The following is a 24073-nucleotide window of genomic DNA, read 5'->3' as shown; positions in this document are numbered from 1 at the left end:
ATATTTTATTGCCCTCGAAGCATGTGATCTCTGTGATGCACAACCTATTCATACATTCCTCCCCTTTTAAAATCACTAATAAAAACTTGCTAGTTTTGCAGTTTGAGGGGCATCATGGAACCTGCCGATATGTGATGCCTTCCCCGGACACCCAGCTTTAAAATTTCTCTCTTGTACTCTTTCCCTTTATTTCTCAGACCGGCCAACACTTAGGGAAAATAGAAAAGAACCTACGTTGAATTATTGGGGGTGGTTCCCCCAATAGCTGAGATTCACTGTATTAGTTAAAATTTCAAGCATGGTTATAGAAAAAGATTGGCTAAAAGGTCTTGACCCTTAGTCATTTTCTGTGTGACTAATTTAGTGTGTGACATTGAGCAGTTTGTTTAGCTTCTCTCTTAAATGAAAGGGTGGGGCTAAATGATACCTCTGCTTCTTTCAGTTTTAATGTTCCACAAGCACGTCATGATCCTAAGACAAAAGTAGAGGATAAGAGCTGAGTTTGACAGAAGAATATGAAAAATATCACTGGGACCTGGTTAGAAGAAAATGGCAGAATCTTTCCTTTTGGTAAGGTCGCCAAGGTGGTTTTGGGACAGCATTTGTTGGTTACGAGAAAATCTAATCTCTGGAAACAGGATACATTAAGCAATGAACAGTGCTTAAGAACACTTTCTTAGCAAAACTGGAAACGTAACACAGCACCATCCTATTAAAACACAAGTAGTAGAGAACAACAGTAACATATTTCATTTATTACAGCGATCAGGATGCCCCACAATACAATCGAATACAAGGCTTATTTCACAAATACAACTATGACTATGGAATAGTAAGATGTTTTTAAGAATGGTTTTGTTGTGTTTGTGTGTATGTGTGTGCAAGTATTTTCGAAATAATTGACCAAGGTACTAACACCCTTTTGCATTGTAATAGTATTTTTCAAGGAAAGGTCTGTGTAGGAAGTTAAAACTGGAGATGCACAAGGACCCAGATTTCCTGAGCAACAATTAAAACTGTAAGGATTAGCTGACCAACAGTCCAAACAAAAATTAAGGGAGTTTTTTCTTCAAGGGAAGAAAACTCAAGGGAGTTTGCCATCTAACAAGCCAAACAAAACCAGTGAGCTTACTAAGAGAAGTGAAAAATCCTGTTTGGAATGGGTCAGAGCTGACGTTAGGGTAGAGAAAGTCAGGTGGAATGAGTTGAGCCAGCTGTTTTGCAATATTCTGAGCAAGAATTTTAAAAGGCATCAAGCAAGGGGAGTCTACCCTAATAGCTGAACTAAACAAACCCCCAAAGCTTTATCAACCCAAAAACTCAGTCTACCCTCCCAACACCCACACTGCAAAATTTCAAGGCCAGCACAGGGTGAGTTTCATATTAAAACACACATCTTGCTATGGTCTGAATGTCTGTGTCCCCCTGAAACTCACATGTGGAAATCCTAACACCCAAGTTGATGGTGTTAGGAGTGAGGCCTTTGGGAGGTAATTAGGTCATGAGGACAAAACCTTCATCAATGGTATTAATTCCCTTATGAAAAAAGTCCCAAGAGAGACTCCTTGCCCTTTCCACCATGTGAGGACACAGCAAGGGTTGCCATATATGAGCCAGTAAACAGGACCTCAACAGGCACCAAAACTGCCTTAATCTTGGACTTTCCAGCCTCTAGAACTGTGAGAAATAAATTCCTGTTCTTCCTTAGCCACCAGCTTATGATATTTTGCTATAGTCTGAACAGACTAAGACACACTCATTTGGCCACACTTCAGTACCCCATTTCTTCTTTAATACTGCCTTAGATATTGCATTTAAATGATTCACTTTTTAATAAAGTCACTGTGATTCACCATGAGCCTTATGTGTCATATCGATGACTCTTAAAGTTTGGTCCCTGGGTCAGCAGTGTCAGCATTGTCTGGCAACCTGTTAGAAATGCAAATATTGGTTCCCAGTCCAGACTGATTAATCAGAAATTCTGGCAGTGAAGCCCAGCAAGCTGTGTTTTCACTCCCCCCAACAACCAGGTAATTCTTAGGCATGCTAAAAGCTTGAACTACTGTTTTATACATACATTTATACACACACACAAACACACATACACAAACACATGCACACAAAGAGCTGATGTGGAATTAGGACAAAGATAATAAAATCATAGATTTCCTTAAAGATGGAAATTGATCCTTCAGCCTAATAAAATAACAGATAACTAAGAGCAATCTTTAGAGTCCTTAAATAGCCACTGTGGAGTGAATTCTGACCACTAGAACCTCTGTGCACAATTTAAATGAGATTTTATTTTTTCTGGTCCATTCTCCCAGTTTCCTACAGGTAGGGAAATCTATCTTGTCAGAGTCGTTACCTGCATAGGCAAAGAACTTACAATGTGGAAGCATCCAAGTAGGACTCAAGTTCTGTTTAGGTTTCTATTGAAGAGATTTGAAGTAGGGTGCAGGTAGTAGTTAATGGTAAAATCTACTTGTTCATGCAGTTGTTGATTCAAGAAAGCCACTAAAATGTTGTCACATATCTCCTCATAGCCTTCTTGCTTCTCAGAATGTTTAGATATTTTCTCATGTTTCATACAATTTTTTCTTTCTTCATCTCATGTTGTTTCATTGTTTCTTAATTGCACCTCCCAAGTAGAATGTAAGCTCCCTGAGGACAAGGGAGTGGTGTCTCCAGCTGCTCAGTGTGATCCAACTGTACATAGACACTGATGAGCAGATGCCTTCATCTTCCTCCAGTCTCACATTGGGTCACCTAGACAGCTGAGATGTCACCTTGCAGCAGACCGATGGATTCTCTAATGAGAATTTAGAGCAAATCATTCAATTATCAGCTTTGTATCTGGCAGAGCCAGAGAAACATTTTAGGTATTGCTAAAGAAAATGATGTTACCAATAAAACATTACTTTTGTATTTGAAATTTGCCATATTTTCCTCTTAGCCTATCGCTAGGTAAAGACTGGCACATGTTATGACCATAACTATTTAGTTTTGCAACTATTCTATGTCAAGTTTACTATTAGCATATAGGTGTTGTTAATTAAGCTTTCTGCTTGTGTTATAGATTTCTATCAATCTCAACCAGTGTTTTCTGGATTCATGGACATGGAAATTAGCATAACAAATCCAGCTCACAGTAATGTGCACCTTGGCAGTTTTAATGGATATGAGGCAAAAGGCTTTGGGAAAATAAACGGAGCTCTAAAAGCTATGTCTTTGAAAACACATGACAATCTAAAACAGTGCTGCTGTTAGGTTTACCATCAATCCTAGGCAACTATTAAAGTTTTCCATGGATTATTAGATTCATGCAACCAAACTTCATTCACTGTTGTCATCTTGATTATAGCAGTGGTCACATCTTATGTGAAACCAGTATTCTTCTATACTGGTTTGCTAATTTGTATTCCACAATGCAATGGTTACTTTTCATCACAGTGGAAAAATTTTATTTTTATTTTTTGACCAAATATGCAAAATCTGGTAAACTATAACCTGCAAGATGCAAACAATGCTTATGTAAGCATTGGAAAGGGTTGTTTTCTGAAAGATATCAATGCAAGGATATACCATGTTTTTATGACTAGGGCCCTAAAGTTTTCTATGCTCAGCAATTTATGTAATTCTCACATATACCTTTCAGAGAACAGTAACACCACCACCATTGTGGAGTTACGGTTGCACTCCTACTTAAAAGAATCCCATAGTATCAACTGCAATATCACACACTGCCACTGCGCCATCCATCTGCTGGATTCACCACCATAAAAGATGGAAGGTTAATGTTTATGCTGAGGAGTTTTCAGGGACTGCTAGTGGCAGACATTTATTTCATAGATGAGAGGGCCATTCACTTTTCCTTTCTGAGAGAGTAAGGGTTACATTTCAGTAGTAGTTAACAATCTGATAGTTCCTAGCAGACTGAGGAAAACAGCCAGAAATATGATTTACTAGTGTGTACCTGCTGTTCTGAGATGAATTTGTACATTTATAAATAACCCCATTTCTCACACAGTAAGGTACTGAAGCTTAAGTTAAAAAGGCAAACTATATAAATTTTTTTAGAAAAAAAAATGGTTGAGGGAGTTTCAATACTAGGGATATCTAACATTGCTGTCCCATAACACAACTCCATTGCCTAAACCTATAACAAAGTCTCCTAAACACACAGCCTAGAGCCAGTGGGACTTCTGGGATTAAAAGAATCAAGGGCATATAACCAGCAGGGTGACCTAAGTTGGCACTGTGCTTAGGAAATAAAACTCAGAGTAATGATTGGGCATTCAACAGATGCAGAGACTCAGAACAGAGTCACAGGAGAAATGCAAGCTCCATAAAAATCCCCCCAAATAACAGAAAATATGCTTGAGTTGGAGCTAGTGGAAGCTCAAGCCAATTTCACTCAAATTTTCTGAGTCAAAGTGACCTAAGGACTTGGGGACATTCAAGAAACTGATACACGCATACTCACCTAATATATTTAAATATGCATCTATTATTATATATTAATATTTACACTAGCTATTTCTATAAACTGTGATTCATTTTTCCAAATGTGACTTTGAGAGCAGACTCTGATTCTGTATATCTTTCACTTAATCACAGTTCTGGAGAGGTTAAGTTAGACAAACCACAAGGTTCTGACCATGATATCACCCTTGATCCACCCAGGGGCTATTCATTCTAGTTACACATGACTTGAAAGCATCCTATCCATATGAATGGCAGTTTGCACATTTCTTTCTTCTTCACCAACTAGGAGCTATGCTGGCCCCATTTGATTGCTTACTTAGATGCTAAGGCCCAGCCAACTCTCAAGTTATCTTCTTTTTTTACTAATAACTAAGTCATAGAGCCCAGGAATTTCAGCTCTACCTTTTGGTGGCTCTGTCATATTCAACAAGTTACATAGGATCACTTTTCCTATCTTTTTCTCATCTAGAAATTAGAGCTAATAATACTAGCACAAAGGGTTACTGAGTAGGATTGAGATAATACAGATGAAATGTTTAAAATTGTTCATAACAGATGGGTCTTAAGTATATATTCACCATTTTTATTCAAATAACTTTCTTTAGTCTGACTCCAGGTTCAAGAGAAAACTTATAATAATTTTTCTTTCCGTGGGGATCAGCCAGTAGGGTAAGAATGCCTTACTCATGCTGATCCTAGTAACAATGACAATTCTAATTGTGATTAAGCAAATTCTTATTTATAGCTCAGTCTCTATAAGCTTAATGTGGCTTTGTCTTTCAGAGAAGGATCTGGGTTCTGAATTTATAAATGAGGATAAATCCATGGACTTTCATGAATTCACTGAAAGTAATGCTTTTCTGTCAATACCAATCTCCATTCTTACATTTCAACTTCTACAGCACATTTCTGGTTGTTACCGTCAGCTGCATGATTTAAACACACAAGGCCATTTAAGTGGGAAACTAGGGGATGAGATCCATGCATTCTGATTTTTTAAAAGTTGCCCTGGATTGTGACATGCAGATCTGGACTAGCCCCTATCATTACTATTAGCCTTAAAATTCTAAACTCATAAAGATAGATTCTGATTCAATGTGTGGCTCTAGAATGGGTTTTAGATACCTGTACTTTTAACAAACCCCCCAGATGATTCTGATGCAGGTGGTCCTTGAAATATATTTGAGAAGCACCAAAAAAAAAAAAAAAAAAAAAAGAATGGCCAGTGTCCTAGTCACATTGAGCCACAGGGGCTCATAAAAGGCGTGGCAAGGATAACCTATGCCGAAGACTAGCTCTGCCACTGATTATAAAATACTGACTCCTAGTAAATAATATGGAATGACTGATGGAACAGGGAGGAGGGAAAGCTGAAATATGCAGTCTTGTCACGGCCTTGGTGAAAGCTTCGAGAAGCACACGCAAGGAACCAAAATGTTTTCAATTTCACTATGCTAGGAGCACATCTCCTTTCATGACCATCCAACTAGATGCTAGATGCTAGTCGGGGTACTGAGGGATGAAAACTCAGAGAAAAACAGAGAACACACACAAAAACAAAATAGATGGAGAGAACAGATAAATTTGTAGGAAAAAAAATCTAATTGGCATAGATTAGCACTGTTCATAAATGGGCAGGAGCAGTCAAAGCTAAGAAAGAAGTGAAACGCTGATATCTGTCACCTTCTCCCACCTGTGACCAAGCTCAGACTTAAAAAAAAAAAAACAACAACAACCAAAAAAACCACACACACACACACACACACACAAAATTACACTCACTCACATGAAACCACAGGACTATTTTTATCCCTTAAACTACTATTGGGTGAGTGAAGTTAGATTATTTTGCTTTTATAACCACTCCATGGCAGACTGGTAATAGAATACCATTTCCTTTGGGTTCACTTCAGTTGTTTTTCCTCCTTGTCTATACAAGGATTCAAATTGTATAACCATGGGACAACTCTCAATCTCATATCTAAGCTCAATCTGAAATATTAAAGGTATTTAGAGAACTTTTATTTTTAGCTGTTACATCATATGTTTGGAAAGTAAGGAAGGCATCAAACAGAAACAAAAACTTAAATCCAAAACAAGCAAACAAAAAGCAGAAACAAAAAAAGGTTTAAGCACTATGTTGACACTGAGGCAAACAATAAAAGAACAGCTAGATGATTTGAAATGTTTTCCTGTTTTGAAAATGATTCATATTTTGATCAAATTTTCAAAATCAATCTGACTCATATATCACTTCCTAAAGGGTATTTAGCATCATTAGCAAAAATCATTATTTTGTATACACTCTTATGATAAACATTATTTTTACAGTGTTTGGGTTAAAAGGAGGAGGCAGAATTTATCTGCATGTGGAAAAAAAATCACCTGACACATTTTGTGTTTATAAATAGCACCGAACACAGTAGGGGAAAATCTGGACCACTACCCACAGAAGACACAGTGTGTACTTCCTATCAAAGCATTTTGGTGCTGATTTAATTACCACATTTAAAAAATGTCAACCAAGTAATGATTATAAGAAAGAAGACATCTGATTAGTATTGCCATGGCTGGGGGCCTTTATTTTAGAAAGGATGACTCTATGTAAGAGGAAACATCTGCTATACCATTTAAAAATCTGTTCCTAAAGGAGTGGTTCCTCCAACCTGCCCAAATGGTATTATTGAGCAAACATTGTATAATGAAGGTTTGGAAAAGTCTTATCCCCAAAACACTGCAGAGGCACAACCATTTAAACGCCCAAGCAAAATGAGTAAATGATAAATAGTATCAAATTGAATGCACAAATGAAACAGAAGGAATAAAAAGAGCCTAAGACAACTGGTGGTGAGGAACAGTGAAAGGATAGAAAGTAATATTTTTCTAAACCAAGAATATGTGTCATCTTAAATGAAAAGCAGATTTCCTCAGCTCACACAGAAAAAGACATTTTCAAAAAAGTGTATAAAGGGTATATGTAATTGAAACATACGATTTACAGAAACTAAAAAATTCAGCTTAAAAAATTATACACAGTAAAATGTGATGCCTAATCCAAAAGCTAAAATATTATTCATCAGAAGAGGTGGATACTATGTGAATACCGATTATGCCCTCTCAGTTTAGCAAATTGCTAGTTGAAAGTGTAAAATTATATAAAATACTGTCCTTAAAATACAATGAAACTGAATCATATTCAGGGCTGGAAGCCACAGACTACTTCTCAAATCTGCATCTGTCTATATTTCAGCACCATCATAAAACATTTTAAAACCTTTTAACCTTTTACTTCTTGTTGATTTTGTCTTACCCTATCCTGGGGTTTGGAATTCTATCTCAGTTATAAAATATCTATATAGAAATGCAGCTTTTCTTTCCTCAGGACAGGCTTTTAGCCAAGATGTCCTTTAATCTCACATGACCCCAGAGAAAAATGCCAGCATACAGTAAACAGTAAATCCCCCATGGTAGAGCTGATGTAGTAATGACAATGATTAATTTGGACATCCACATACGCATCTGTCTCTAACAATACTATGTGACAAGATCTCCTAAAAAGCATCTTCTTCAAATAATGCAGAGACACCCCCACTCTCACCTCCAAATACCTAATGATGGGTGTCATCTCTAGAAAAGAACATAAAAACAGCTACAAAATCCATTAATGTATGACTTGGCAACTATGAGAAACAAATGGAGGGAAGTGTAGGCCTGGCTCATTTTTTTGATGTCAACCACAAAATCAGACATGGAGTAGATCTGGGTTAAGGATAGAAAATAATTGCATAATCATTAATATGTATCAACCAAGGAGATAGTTTTAGGTAATGCATTTTTAATTTCCTTACTATATTTACTTGAAAAACATTTATAATATGAGCACATAAAATGTTAAATATAATAAATACATTTTCCAAAAACCCAGTCAAGGATCACTGAAAGCATAAATTTAGCATATTTTTCAATGGTTGGAGGGATTACTCTAGTGCAGTGGTTCTCAACGTTAGCGTGTAGCACAATCCCCTGTATAGCTGGCTATAAGACAGATTGTGGGATCAATCCCCATAGTTTGTGATTCAGTGGGTCCAAGATAGACACTTAGAATTTGCATTAACAAAGAGTTTCAAAGTTGTGCTGATGCTGCTGAGGCCAACACTTTGAGAACCATTGCTCTAGTAGAGTGAGAATTTCAAGGTTGGCTACAATGTCAATAACTTGATTTGTCTTTTTCATGAATTTCCCTAGACTGTTGTCCTTTGTGATCTCCTCCATGTCAACTGTAATCCCTCAGCATATTGGTTTCAAGCAGAGAATTCTTAGCTCCATCTTTTGTACTTAACCTACCAAGTAGTGATCAAACAACTTGACAAATCAGAACATTTATTTTTAATGCATAATTTTTACATCAAAAGAAATTAATAATAATAATTTCTAGGAGGTGCTCCTCAGTTAGATTTAAATATAGATTCTGCATTCACTATTTCTTAGTTTACAAACATTTTCCCATGCACGTACTGGTCCAAAACTACATTTCAGGTGGATGATATTCCTGGAAACAAAGAGCATTTAGTGAGAGTAGAGCAAGAGCTGGGATGGTGTGGTTCCAGCATCCCACCAGAAAAGACATCTCTGAGAGTGGGGGAAATCTCCAACTATGCCACAGCCTACAGTAATGGCTTTCCAGGAGGGGAGAGAGAATTGATTTGGGGGAGTAAGGGTACCTGCCTGTGGTCCATGAATCCTACAATGATGGACTGCATTGTGAACCCATCTATCTGCAACACCACTTGAGGATTCACTCATCCCACTTACCTGTCAACTGTTGATTATTCAGAAACAGATAAGCAGTAACCCTCTGAGGTTTATCCTCTGAGAATCAACGGGAGTGATATTTTTTCAGTTTATGCTTGCATAAAACATATAGATTGGGCTTTTGCTTCTGTGAAGAAGGAGAAAAAGCACTTTCCCCTACTCTTCTTACTAAGTACAACTGAAACCCCTGTATTTTATATATTAAATAAACATACAAAGACACTGAAAGCTGGAGAAGAGAAGACAAATCAGCTAGGGGACCTCAGAGCTCAAGGAATGACATGATGGTGAGTTCCCTGGAATCGTGTGTTGCCTCACATATCCAATTCTTGGGGCTAAAGAAACTGGAAACCCAGAAATGCCATCAGGCACAACTTTTAAAAGGGTGCCAACAAAACCATACTCTCTCTGGCCTAAGGAACAGGAAAGGAGCATCATAGCTAGATAAAAAAACAAATTTAGGCAATAACTGCTCTATTGTAGCCACAGAAGAAAGAAATAATTGTGGTTCCACCACACCTATGCCAACACAAGCTGTGTGGGAAACCTACACTTCCATCCTTGCCAAGCTGTAACAAGACACCCCAACTTCTCCCATCCCCACCGTGATGATGTCATAGAAGGCCAAGTAAAAAGCTGGGACTTTCATTTTCACCAGTGGTAATAAAGACCCCCCCTATTCCTCACCCCCACTATGTTGTCAATAGTAATGGTGGGAGGATCCTGGAGTTCTACCCCTGCCTTGCAGTACTGAGTCTCCCTTCTCCTTCTCTCCTGGGATGGTGTCACAGGTGGCTTAATGGAGAGTCAGAACTGTCACTAAGACCCAGCAGTCATTAGGCCCCCTCTTCTGTCCCCCTAGTGTGTCAGTGGAGAGACCACATGGGGAACATAAAGGAGGCACTTCTACCCTTCATAGCTGGAAGTATCAGTGAAGACCCACTTTGCCCTACAGTAATGTGAAGTCCCCTCAGGTGTCAAGGGAGACTGAGTGAGGAACCTAATTTCTACCCCCCACCTGGCACTGATGCTCACTGAGGTGATGTTAGTGGAACTCGGCTAAATCAGAAAGTTTAAATAAGATTCAGAGTCTCTTAACATATAAGAAAATGGCCAAGTTTCCATTGAAAATCATTCATCATACCAAGAACCGGGAAGATTTCAAACTGAATGAAAGACGACAATCAACAGATGCTAAAAGCAAGATCCCAGAGATGTTAGAATTATTTGACAAAGTTTTTAAAGCAGTCATAAGAAAAACATTTCAATTGAATGATTATAAACATGCTTCAAATAAATAAAAAAATATAAAACTTTGGCCAAGAAATAGAACACATAAGGAAAAACTAAGTAGAAATTTTAGAATTGAAAAAAATACCCAAAATATAAAAATCAGTGGGTGGGCTCAAGAGCAGAATGTGAGTGACAGAAAAGAACATGGGAGCTACAAGATAGAAAAATAGAAATCACTCAATTTGAATAACAGAGAAAACAGATTAGAGAATAAAAAGAGAGAGAAAGAAAGCCTCAGAAACCTGTGTGTGGTAAGCTGAATAATGGCTCCCAAAGATATTCAGCAGAATGGCTCCAATCCCTGGAAGCTGTGAATGGAAAAAAGAGATTTGGTAGATGTGATTATTCTACAACTCTTCAGATAAGGAGAATGGCCTGCACTATCCAGGTGGCTCCTAAATGTAATCACAGTGTCCTTAAAGGAGGGAGGCAAAGAGCAGAGATAAATCTGGCCGCAGAAAAGTAAGTAGGAGATACGATGACAGAGGAAAGAAATTGGAGTGATCCAAGGAAGGGATTGTAGTCAAAGAATACAGGTGCCTCTAGAAGCTAAAGAAAGCAAAGTAATAGATTATTCCTTAGAACCTCCAGAAGGAAGCAGCCTTGCTAACACCTTGACGTTAGCCCTGTGAAACTGATTTTTGAGTTCTGGCCTTCAGAACTGTAAGAAAGTACATGTGCACTTCTGTAAGGCATGCACTGTATGGTAATTTGTTACAGCAGCCATAGGAAATCAATACAATGTGTGACAATAACAAAAGGTCTAAAATTCATGTCTTGGAGACCTGAAGGAAAGGAAAAATTGGGCGAGGCTGAAAAATTGCTAAAAAATGGCTGAAAACTTCCCAAATTTGACAGAAGTCATAGACCTACAGATTTAAACACCTGAGTAAATCTGAATGCTAAAAAACCTTCCAAGGATATCCATGTCAAGACACATCATAGTCACATTTATGAAAATTAAAGACAAAAAAGTTTTATAAACAGCAAGAGAGAAATGCTACTTTACCAAAGAAGAAAATCCATTAGAATGACAATGGATTTTCATCAGAATACATAGAGTCCAAAGGAAGTAACACAACATATTTCAATTGCTTTAAGAAAAGGCCTCTCAACCTAGAATCTTATGTCCAGTGAAAATCCTTCAGGAAGAAAGAAAAAATCAAGACATTCTCAGCTAGAGGAAAACAAAATATTTTGTCACCAGCAGATCTGACCTGCTCACAAAGGGTGGCTAGAGAAAGTTCTTAAAACAAAAAGGAAACAATAAAAGAAGAAAGGTTAGAACATCAAGAAAAAAGAACATGGTAAGCAAAAAATATGAATAAATGCAACAGACCTTCCTTCTTTGCTTGTTGAAGCAAAAATTATAACACTGTCTGATGTGGTTCCAAATGTATGTACAGGAAATATTTAAGACAATCATATTATAAATGGAGGCTGTAAAGGGAGGTACGGTTTCTATACTTCATTCAAATTGATAAAATGACAATGGGAGTAGCCAGTGATAAATTATGTGTATATGATGTAATACTTAGAGTGATGATTAAAAAAACAAAACAAAACAAAAAAATACCTGGCCGGACACGGTGGCTCACACCTGTAATCCCAGCACTTTGGGAGGCCGAGGTGGGCAGATCACGAGGTCAGGAGATCGAGACCATCCTGGCTAACACAGTGAAACCCCATCTCTACTAAAAATACAAAAAAAAAAGAAAGAAAAAAAATAAAATTAGCCAGTGTGGTGGCGGGTGCCTGTAGTCCCAGCTACTCAGAAGGCTGAAGCAGGAGAATGATGTGAACCCGGGAGACGGAGCTTGCAGTGAGCTGAGATTGCACCACTGCACTCCAGCCTGGCCAGCCTGGGCAACACAGCGAGACTCTGTCTCAAAAAACAAACAAACAAACTCTGTACAGTGATACACTTAAAAACACTATACATATAGAAGTGGAATTCTGTAAATGCTCAAGTAAATAACAGGATGGTAGGAAAAAAAAAACAGTGAAATCCAAAATAGAGATAACAAACAAAAAATGGCAGATTTAAGCACTAAAGTATTGTATTAATATTTACAGTAAATGTAAATGGTTTAAATATACCAATTAAAAGACAGATATTAGCAGAGTGCATTAAAAATATGAGCCAACTAGGCCAGGCGTGGTGGCTCACGCCTATAATCCCAGCGCTTTGGGAGGCTGAGGTGGGCAGATCACGAGGTCGGGAGATCGAGACCATCCTGGCTAAGGTGGAACCCTGTCTCTACTAAAAATACAAAAAATTAGCCAGGTGTGATGGTGGGCACCTGTAGTCCCAGCTACTCGGGAGGCTGAGGCTGGAGAATGGCATGAACCTGGGAGGCAGAGCTTGCAGTGAGCCGAGATTGCACCACTGCACTCCAGCCTGGGCAACAGAGTGAGACTCTGTCTCAAAAAAAAAAAAAAAAAAAAAAAAAATGAGCCAATTATATTTTATCTACAAGGAACTCAAATAAAATATAAAATATGGGCCAGTGGAAAGTACAAGGATGGAAAAAGAGATATGCAAACACCCATTAAAAGAAAAATGAGTGTCTATATTAATATCAGACAAAGTAGTCTTCAGAGCAAATAAAACTACCAGATACAGAGAGGGGCATTATTTAATAATAAAGTCAATATAACAGAAGACATAACAATTCTAAATACATATGCACCAAATAACAGAGCTATAAAATATGTAAAGCCAAAGTGGCAGAAGTGAAGCGAGAAATAGACAAACTCACAATTATAACTGGAGACGGCATATACTTTTTCATTAATAGGAAAACTAGACAGAAAATCAGCAAAGACATATAAGAACTTGACAGCAACATCAACCAACATGACTTAATCAGCATTTATAGAACACTCTACCCCGAAACAGCCAAATATACATTCTTTTCTAGTGCCCTTGGAACATATACCAAGGCATAGCACATTTTGGGACATAAAATAAACCTCAACAAATTAAAAGAATTGAAATCATACAGCATGTGTTCTCTGAATACAACAGAATCAAACTAAAAGTCAATAACGGAAAGAAAGCAGGAAAAATCTTCAAACATTTAAAAATTGAACACTCTAATTCTAAATATCCAATGGGTCAAAGAGGAAATCTCAAGGAAATTTAAAAATACATTCAACTAAATAAAAATGAAAATACAATATACAAAAATGTATGGGATACAGTGACAGCAGAACTGAGAGGGAAATCTATAGCACTAAATGCATACATTAGAAAAGAGGAAAAATCTCAAACCAATAATCTTAGCTCCCTGTCAAGAATATAGAAAAAGATATTATTATCTTTCTCCAAGAAAAGTAGGAGAAAATAACAATTATAAGAGCAGAAATCAATGAAATGGAAAACAGAAAAATAATAGAGAAAAATTAATGAAACAATGTGTTCTTTTAAAAGTGAATAAAATTGAAATCCTCTAGCAAAACTGACAGAAAAGAGAGAAGACATAAATTAGTAACATCAGGAATGAAACATGGGATAGCACTAAAGACCATGCAGACATCCAAAGAATAATTTGAAATATTAGGAGTAATTCTACACAAATAAATTTGACAACTTAAATGAAATGGAACAATTCCTGAATCAACTTAAACTACAGTAACTCACACAATATGAAACAGATCATTACTGTGTCGTCCCACAAATTCATATGTTGAAGTCCTAGCCCCCAGGAACTCAAAACGTGACTCTATTAGAGATAGGACTTTTAAAGAAAGTGATTAAGATAAAAAAGAGTTTAAATTAAAATGTAGCTGTTAGGGTGTGTTTAGGGCCTAATCCAATCTGACTGGTGTTCTTACAAAAAGAGGAAATTTGGACACACAGAGAGACACCAGGGATGCTTGAGCACTGAGGAAAAGACCACGTGAAAACATAGTGAGAACTCAGCTATCCGCAAGCCAAAGAGAGAGGCCTCAGAAGAAACCAAATATGCCAACTCCATGACCTTGGACTTGTAACCTCCAGAACTGTGAGGAAATACATTTCTGTTGTTTAAGCCACCCAGTCTGTGGTATTTTATGTCAGCCCTAGCACACTAATATAGATATTAAAGAAATCGAGTCCCGTAACTAAAAACAAAAAAGCCCTAAAGAAGAAATCTCCCAGCCCAGGTGATTTCACTGGAGAATTCTACCAAAAGTTTAAAGAAAAAAATAACATGAATCCTATGTAATCTCTTTCAGAAAATAGAAGAGGGAACACATCCCTATTCATTTTATAAAGCTAGTATTATCCTGATACTAATACCAAAAACAGTACCAAAAAAAGAAAACTACAAGTCAATATTCCTCATGAATATAGATGTAAAAATCTTTAACAAAATATTGGCAAATCAATTCAGTAATTCATACAAAGAATTAATCATACATAATGAATAAATGGAGTTTATTGCAAGGATGCAAGGCTGGTCCAATAGTTAAAAATTGATCAATGTACTCCATCATATAAAGAAGCTAAAGAAGAAAAATCATATGATCACATCATTTGGTGAAGAAAAGCATTTGACAAAAATCAATACTTATTTGTGATTTTTTTTAAAACTCAGGAAAAAATGGAAATCAAAGTGAAATTCTTCAATTTGATAAAGAACACTTACATAAAACTTACAGATAACATTATACTTAATGCAGAAAGAGTGAATGCTTTCCACTGAAGATTAGCAAAAGGCAAAGATGCTTGCACTCTCTACTTTTATTCTATATAGTACCAGAAGTTCTAGCCAGTGCAATAGGACAAGAAAAGGAAACAAAAGGCATATAGATTATAAATAAATAAAATTGTTTCTGTTTTCAGATTACATGATGGTGGTCTACATAGCTAATCTGTTAGTTAGCATGATTTAACATGTCACATTGAATACATATATAGAAACATCACATTGTACCTCATTAACATACTCAACTATGATTCGTCAAAAAAATATAGAACTGGCCGGGCGTGGTGGCTCATGCCTGTAATCCCAGCAGTTTGGGAGGCCGATACAGGTGGATCACCTGAGGTCAGGAGTTCGTGACCAGCCTGGCCAACATGTTGAAACCCCCTCTCTACCAAAAATACAAAAATTAGCTGGGCGTGGGGGTGGGTGCCTGTAATCCCAGCTACTCAGGAGGCTGAGGCAGGAGAACTGCTTGAATCGGGGAGGCGGAGGTTGCAGTGGGCATAGATCGTGCTATTGCGCTCCAGCCTGGGCGACAGAATGAGACTCAGTCTCAAAACAAACAAACAAACAACAACAACTATATACACACACACATACACACACACACATAGAATTAATAAGTGAGTTCAGGAGTTCCCAGGATACTAGATAAACATAAAAATCAATTAAATTTCAATATATTTGCACTGAATACCTCAACACTGAAATTAAAAATACATTATTATTTTAAATTGCTTAAAAATTATTCATATGTAAGTCTAGTAATATATGTACCAGACTTAATCCCAAAACCTACAGATCACTGGTAAAAGATACCAAAGACATTCTACATAAATGGAGAAACATGCCACATGTATGGATTAAATATCAATTATCCTTAAACTGCTAAGCAGTTTTAACATAATTCCTATCAAAATCCCATTAAGACTTTTTTGTTAATATAGACAAGATAATTCTAAAGGTAATTCTAAAATTTATATGAAAAGGCAAAGGAATTAGAATAGCTAAAACAATTTTGAAAAAGAAAAACAAAGTGGGAGGAATCAATCTATTATGAGTTCAATAGTTATTTACATGTAAAACTATGTAATATGTTTCCAAAGAATAAGTAACCCCAAAATAAATCCAAACAAATATTCCCAATGCAAACCACATATCTTAGAAAGAACAATTATTGAGAATATATAAAGAATTCTCAAAACATAGCATAAAAAACTCCCAAACAATCCAAATAGAAAATGAAGAGACATTTCACTAAGGAAGATATTTAAATGACAAATAGGCACATGAAAAGATGTTCACCATCATTAGTCTTAAGGAAATGCAAATTGAAATCACAATGAAATATTGCTACACACCTATCAGAATGGCTAAAATACAGCACAGCAATAACACCAAATGCCAAATGCTAGCGAAGATACAGAGAAACTTATTTCTCATATATTGTTGATGGGGATGTAAAATGGCACATCCACTCTGGAAAAGTTTGGTAATTTCTTATAAAAGTAAACGTGTAACTTCTGGGAATTTATCCCAAAGAAATTAATACATATTATACATTAATACAAAAATATTTACATGAACGTCTATCGTAGTTTTAGTTGTAGTAGCCAAAAAATTGGAAAAAAATAACCCAGATGTCTTTCAATAGGTGAATGGTTAAACAAGCTATAGCTCATGTATGCCACAAAATACTATTCAGCAATAAAATGCAGTAAGCTATTGGGACATTCAACAACCTAGATAAATCTCCAGAAAACTACGCTGAGTGGAAAAACCAATCCCAAAAGTTCCCATTATGTATAATTCCACTTATATAACATTCTTGCAATGACAAAATTATAGAAATAGAGAACATATTAATGATTGCAAGGGATTAAGGGGTTGGAGGTGGGTGGTAGTTACAGCCAAGTTGGTGTTGCCATAGAAGAGCAATAGGAATTATCCTTCTGGTGCTGGAATTTGTTCATCACTGTATCAACGTCAACATCCTGGTTGTGATATTGTACTATCATTTTGCAAGAATTTACCACTGGGGAAACCTGGGTAAAGGGACCATGGGATCTCTGTATTACTCCTTACAACTGCATATGAACCTCAAATTATCTCAAAATAAAATGTTTAATTAAAAGTATTGATTGAATATATTCTAATTATGCAGATTATGTTTGGCAATGCAAAATAAATGTATAGTATGATTTATATGTTTGCATACTTTTTATAGCAATGTGTGATAGCAGAAATTATACTTTTGTCTATTTTGGGGTATGTGACAAGAAAAGATACGCACATAGCTGTTCTGATTTCTGTACCATGTTGATACTATCAAATCTGTTCAGAAAACCCAATTTGGTTGCTGTGGGCAGGTATTGGCACTGTTCTAGACTTTCACTTGCTGTCAAATAGGCTACCACATGCATTCACTCAAAAATAAATCATTGCTTTTATTATTCCTTGACTAAATACAACTCTCACTGGAAAAGAGTGAGAGCATCAGTTATTGATAAGTCTACTTTTAAATTGAGGAATAAATCATTTTTAGGTGATTAAATTATTATTATTATTATTATTATTATTATTATTATTATTATATTATTTTCTGAGATGGAGTCTCGTTCTGTTGCCCAGGCTGGAGCACAGTGGCGCGATCTCGGCTCACTGCAAGCTCTGCCTCCCGGGTTCACACCATTCTCCTGCCTCAGCCTCCCAAGTAGTTGGGACTACAGGTCCCGCCTGTAGGTCTTGCCACCACCCCCAGCTAATCTTTTGTTTTCGTATTTTTAGTAGAGACGGAGTTTCACCGTGTTAGCCAGGATGGTCTCGATCTCCTGACCTTGTGATCTGCCCGCTTAAGCCTCCCAAAGTGCTGGGATTACAGGCATGAGCCACTGCGCCCAGCCAATTTTTGAATTTTTAGTAGAAACGGGGTTTCACAATATTGGCCAGGCTGGTCTCGAACTCCTGACCTCAGGTGATCCATCCACCTTGGCCTCCCAAAGTGCTGGGGTTACAGGCTTGAGCCACCGTGCCCAGCCTTAAAATTCTTACATTAATTAATGATCACAGAACCTTTAGCTGTTAAAGATATTTTCCTGATCATTTGAAATGCTAATATAGATACTCTTGTACTTTTGATTTTAAAAATTTTAATAGTTTCAAATGGTGCTCAATTTACCATTTTTGAATTAAAAAATACATAATATAATGAAACATTTCTCATAATCTATTAGTCATCTGTTTTTGTCTAGCACTCACATATCTTCATGTTTTGTATATTTTTCACGTATAAAATATGGGGCAAAAAGTATTCATATAAAGGAAGTTCTATTTTTTCCACTTTTTTTTTTTTAAACAATGGAAATATCAGATTAGGGGGTGTTATGATTTTCAACAGCAATGGAAATTTAATTCAGCAGTAAGATTCTGAGCCAGGTATTATACATCAATATTTAATAGTATGAAATACAGAATCAGAATCCTTTGTCTTAAACACCATCTCAAACTATGTGACAGTGGTTAAGGTTACTCTCCCCGTTGTGTTTCATTTTTCCCTTCTATAAAATGGAGATAATGATATGCAAGCCTCACATGGCTTTTGTGAAGAGTACGTCATTTAATTTATATAGAGACCACAGAATGACGCTCAGTATACAGTACATGTTCAATAAATTTAGTCACTCCTATGTTTGCTTGAACTCATTAATATGAATTTCCCCAGCATCTTCAGCACTCAATATCATCTCCATCACTATGAAGCCTCTTCTCTTCTTTTGGGTAGTTGAGACAATCTCAGGGACTGTGTGATAAATCAATTAAAGTTCTATTTTGAGACATCCTGGCACTTTATCAAAAACAACAACAACAAAAAAACCTCCCAAACCACACAGAACTACTTCTTTCAGTTTGAAAGTAGTTGCCAAGGAAAAGAAAGAAAATGACTATATTACATTAAACCTAAATAACTCTTTGCAAATAGGCAAGTAACCACATAAAGGTAGCACATGTTCCATGTGCTTTAAAAAAAAGTACTGATAGTTTTGTAAACCTCCCCATGTCCATGGATGGATAATGAGGTGAAATAGTATGTCTCCTGGTGAATACAGAAGTAACTAGAGTGACACACATCTCTGATTCAGAACATAATTCAGAAAATTAACATGCAAGCATTTAGGAAAAGATTACTGGAATTAGTACACACCTTCTCACGTGTCATTCCTGCACAAATATGTGGCTTTTCAGGCATCTTGTTCTGACCTCCATGTCTAGTCCAGAATCCTTTAATAGATATTCTCATAGAACTTCTTTCATTCAGGAAACTTAGCTCAACTTACAAGTAATCATTTATTGGTATAATTATTTTATTAAAACTTGTCCCCCTGTGCAGTCAGGGCTCACAGATCTTTCTGCTCACTATTGAGCCCCACTCCTGCACCCCACACCTGGAAAAAAGAGGCTCTGTAGAAGCAGAAGCAGTACAATTCTTTCAAACTAGAGGTGTGGGACTTGAAAGGAAAAGGTCATGTCAAAACTACCAAGTGAGATAAAAGTAGCAAGCTGTCTCTAAAATAAGTAACAGACGCTAGAAAACTGGAACACTGAGTTAAGAAAGGATATATGTATGTATCACAGGATTTATGTCTTGATAACAATCAACACTATATATAAATGGACTTGGAAAAATCAAATTCAAGTTCAATATCAAAAACATTTGTGACTGATAGCATACAACCACTCTGACCACAGGACTGCACTGTAGCATCCCAAAATAAAGATGTAGCCATAATTCTGGTGTGTGTGTGTGTGTGTGTGTGTGTGTGTGTGTGTGTGTTGCAGGGAGGGGATGGTTAACCACTGAAGAGCCAAATATTTTTTCTCATATCCACAGATCATGTTTCCGTGCCGTTTAGTTGGATTCCACTCTCTTTTTACTTATAATGTTGAGTAAGTGTGAGTTTGAAATTATACATATTGAATTTAATTAAAGTGAAAGATGAGAATTAAAGGAAATCTATGAATGTCAAAATAATTTTGAAACTCGTTATGTGAAGAAGCAATTAAAATTTACTTGAAAAAAATAACAGATGAAGAATTAAGAGACATCTGCCCAATAAAATGAATATTGTGAAAGCTCTATGATAAGCTCAAATGAAGAGTAATTCTCTAAATATGTGAGAGTAATTCTCTAAGTAAGTTGGAGCTCACCCCATTGAGACCTTTCTTCACATCACGGTTCATTTAAAACAAGTGGAGATTTTAAAAGTATTTCAACTTAGAACTAATGAGAAAATTTGATTTCAGTCTTCACCGCTACACAATTCTGTATAAAGTACATACAATTGGCTAAATGACATGACAGACTCGAATGCCCTTAAAATACAGCTTGCTTTTAATCACTGATAGTTGAAAGAGAATTGCACAATTCTTCTTTTAAAACCGCCCAACTCTCGCCAGAGTGAGTGGGTTAAATATAACTAAACTTCCTCAAAAATCTGGAAGATGGTGTTCTGAAGAAAACGATGGTCATGATCTGAACAAAGAACAGACTAATAACCTATGAAATTTAAAATTAAGTGCAAACAAACATATAGCTTTAGCCATTTGCTTTATAATAATTTACTTTGCTGATACATCTTAACGGCTGAAAATCTCAACTTTATGGTGAAATGCAACTTTAATCATTGTAGGACATGCAACTTTAATTACTGTAGGACACTTGGTTAATTGTGCTGAAAGGAAACTACTCAAACGTTATTTGCCATAATTTTAGTATTGAAAGTTAGAAGAAGAAAAAGTAGAAAAAGAGTTAATTGTTCTGAACATGCAGCACATACCTATTAAGGTTCATCTTCATAGAAAGATGTGGTCAGTATAGAAGACTTTAGGTATAATGAGTTGATTAGGGGCGCATGAAAAGCCCAACTAGACTCCTAACACTTAATAAATGTATGACCTTGGGTAAGTTATTTTATCTCTCTGTGCCCGGATTTTCTCACCTGCAAAAGTTGTTTAATAACATTACCTACTCCCTTGGTGGTCTAAGAATTAAGACAGTGAATAAATCTAAGCCATATAGAACCGTGGAACATGTGGAACACTTTTTTCCTAAAGTTTCCACCTTTGGAATAAGCAAAAGAAAAAAAAAACCATTATTTTTTAAAGAAATCAGTAACTGTACACTTCAACAATACAAGTATCTCTGAGGTTCAAAAGGAAATACAAACACATTAAATGCCAAGTGATGACATATAACAGGAAAACATAAGCATCAACTCAAAAGACAATTTTTTTAGAATAAGAATAAATGTAAAGCATGGTAAGCTTCACTGCAAGGCACATCCAATATTTGCGCCTCCCCTGCCCCCTCCCCCTGCGCCCCTCACGGCCAAGTTCTACAGTTATCTTTCCAAAGCCATACCCCAAGCCTACTAAACAGCAAAGTTTTACCTTCAAGTCCCAGGAGTGGTACCACTGAGTCCCAGCCTCGCCGTCGCCACCCCTCTTCTCTCTTTGGCTTTGGTCTTTTGACAGACACCTCTCTTCAACTCCCACTCCGGATACCAGAACGAACCTCCCGCCTGCCCTCTGTCCAGCAGAAAACTTCGAAGTGGGCAACAGGCTATAAAAGCCGAAGACACTCACCCCCGTGCCCACCCGCCCCCGCCGCCCCCCGTCCCCGGGGCCCGGAGCCCACTCCCACCCAGGCATCGGCCCGGGCACCGCAGTGCACTGCAACACGAAAGGACGCCGCTGGCTGCAAAGGAACCCAACGCGGATGTCCCAGTCAGTACCCCTCAGACTGTTCCCCGACGTGAGTATCATCCCTAATGGAGGTAGACACTCCACCTCCCACCAGCTCAGCCCGAGAGGATGACCAAGAGGGCAGCGACCACAACGAAAACAACTCAACCCGCGACGCGAAGGAGCCGGCTGCCATAGCCACCCCCCGAGCGGCGCCGCGGCAGCAGCAGGGGCTGCGGCGCTGCGAAGGCCTTCGAGGGCGGGGGAGATTTACCTGCGCGGCCCCGCGCCCCCGGGCCGGACATCCTGCAGCAGCCGCTACCGCCGCCCCGCGGGCCTGAGGCGCCGCCCGCCGCCCGGGGAGGCGCCGCGCCGCAGTCCTGGCTGCGGCGCCCGGCACATGCTTCGCGCTAGCCGCGGCCGGCGCCGGCGCACAGGTGGGAACCCCGTGAGTGGGCGTTGAGGCGAATCCCTGCCCCCGCCGGCGCTCTCCGCCCGCTTCCACTCTTGACTTTGCTCGGTGCGCGGCGCCTGCCCTTGCTCCAGCGCCGAGCCGCCTGTGTCCGCGCCCCGGCGCCGTGGGCGGCTGCGGTCCCTGCGCAGCCGGGGCTGCGCGTCATGTGCACCTCCCGCCCCGCGGCGGGCTCCTCTGCACCGGGCGGCCGGGGGCAGCGCGGCAGCCCGGCCTCGCGCCCACTCCTCGCCCGGCACACGGACCCCCTCCACCCCCGCGCCCTCCCCCACTCCGGAGCTGTCAAAGAAGAAAACGCCGTGCACACACCTTGGAATGGACGGGCGCTTCAGTCACTGACTCGCCAAACTCTTAGAAGGTGTCCATTGGTCTGCAGGGAGGTTTGAGCCTGGAGTAGGAGCCGCTTTCTTATTATTTAATAATGTTGGAAGTGCCGGGTCCGCTGCCAGAGTTGTGGGTCATGTGGGCACAGCAGAGGCTGGCTGCTGCCAGTACCAGGGTTTCCTGAGGATCCTGAAACTATGATCTCATCCTCCTCATCCGCCTCCCCCGCCCCTCTCTCCGCGGGCGCGCACGCACAGCACACACACACACACTCACACACACACTCATGCTGAATGCACTATCTTCCTTCCTGGACCGAAATATTCCTCTAGGGAAATAGTGGGCACGCTCGTCATTGAAAAAAAAAAAAATCCTTCAGATAGAGATTTTTCTCTTCCAAAGCTTGATTTATGTGCTTTGTTTATTTCCTACAGTTTTCCCTCACACGTGCAGGAGATTGGAACAGAGAATCAGGTTTAAAATTAAAAATAATTATTCTCTTATGTTGACCCAGATTTTGGTCAGAACCCAAGAACTTAAACAGTACAATTTCAATTTAAAACAGAGGCAAAATATACAAGGCTTGAATATGGAATATTCTTAGATGTATGCAGTGGGTTTCTTTCCCAAGCTGCAAACATTCCCCAAACATTACCTCATTTATTTGCAGAGCATCTTTGCAGAGGAGGTGGATGAAAAGGCAAATAGTATTGTCACTTCAGAGACACAGAAGCATAAGTAAGATAACATGACCTATCCAAGTACACATAATAAGTCAGTATCTCACTATAAATATTAATTGCATAGCTACTCACAGGTTGCTTTTTCACTATGATCAATTCCCAGATACTTAGTTTACTGAAAATAATGAAAACATTGTTGATTATTTTTAAGTTACCAAGATTGAAAATTATTTTATCTTACTATATGTATGTTTTCATATAATTTTCTCTTGTATTATATTTCCAATTTCACGTTTTCATATAATTTTCTTTCTTTTTGGAGGAATGTGGCATGTATATGCATACATTTATATCCAATTGCATTGTTTAAATCCTTAGATAGTAATTTCAAGCAATTTTAGCCAATGTTTCTGAAGTAGTCACCAATTTCATAATTTGTATATGTCATTCAAACCCCTTTCACCTGGTGTATGTGAAGAGCTACGCTACATTTTGAAGGATAGAAAGAAGTTTAATATAAGTATCTGTCTTTAGTTTACATCTAGTTGTTGAAACAAGATACA

General features: G+C 38.1%; 1 protein-coding gene across 31 annotated transcripts in view, besides 1 other annotated feature; it reads right to left on the bottom strand.

Moving 5' to 3' along the window:
- DTNA (dystrobrevin alpha) overlaps positions 1-23015 on the bottom strand; it is a 398533-nt gene extending 375518 nt beyond the window's left edge. For 29 of the 31 annotated variants that reach the window (XM_047437323.1, XM_047437332.1, XM_047437326.1 and 26 more), the window contains exon 1: positions 22813-23015. The gene's annotated coding sequence lies outside the window, so the exon portion shown is untranslated. Of the gene's footprint in view, positions 1-22305; positions 22599-22812 lie in introns of those variants that run through there. The other 2 variants (XM_047437327.1, XM_047437330.1) reach the window with 1 other exon arrangement.
- Positions 22362-22491: a silencer, noted in NCBI's record as "silent region_9393". NCBI's record gives its function as "represses an Ori minimal core promoter by ATAC-STARR-seq in GM12878 lymphoblastoid cells {active_cell/tissue: GM12878}" and the evidence as "EXISTENCE:reporter gene assay evidence [ECO:0000049][PMID:35858748]".

Source organism: Homo sapiens, chromosome 18 (assembly GCF_000001405.40).
Source record: "Homo sapiens chromosome 18, GRCh38.p14 Primary Assembly".
Lineage (NCBI taxonomy): Eukaryota > Metazoa > Chordata > Mammalia > Primates > Hominidae > Homo > Homo sapiens.
The sequence above is the reverse complement of the archived record's forward strand: the minus strand, read 5'-3'. Positions and strand labels throughout refer to the sequence as shown.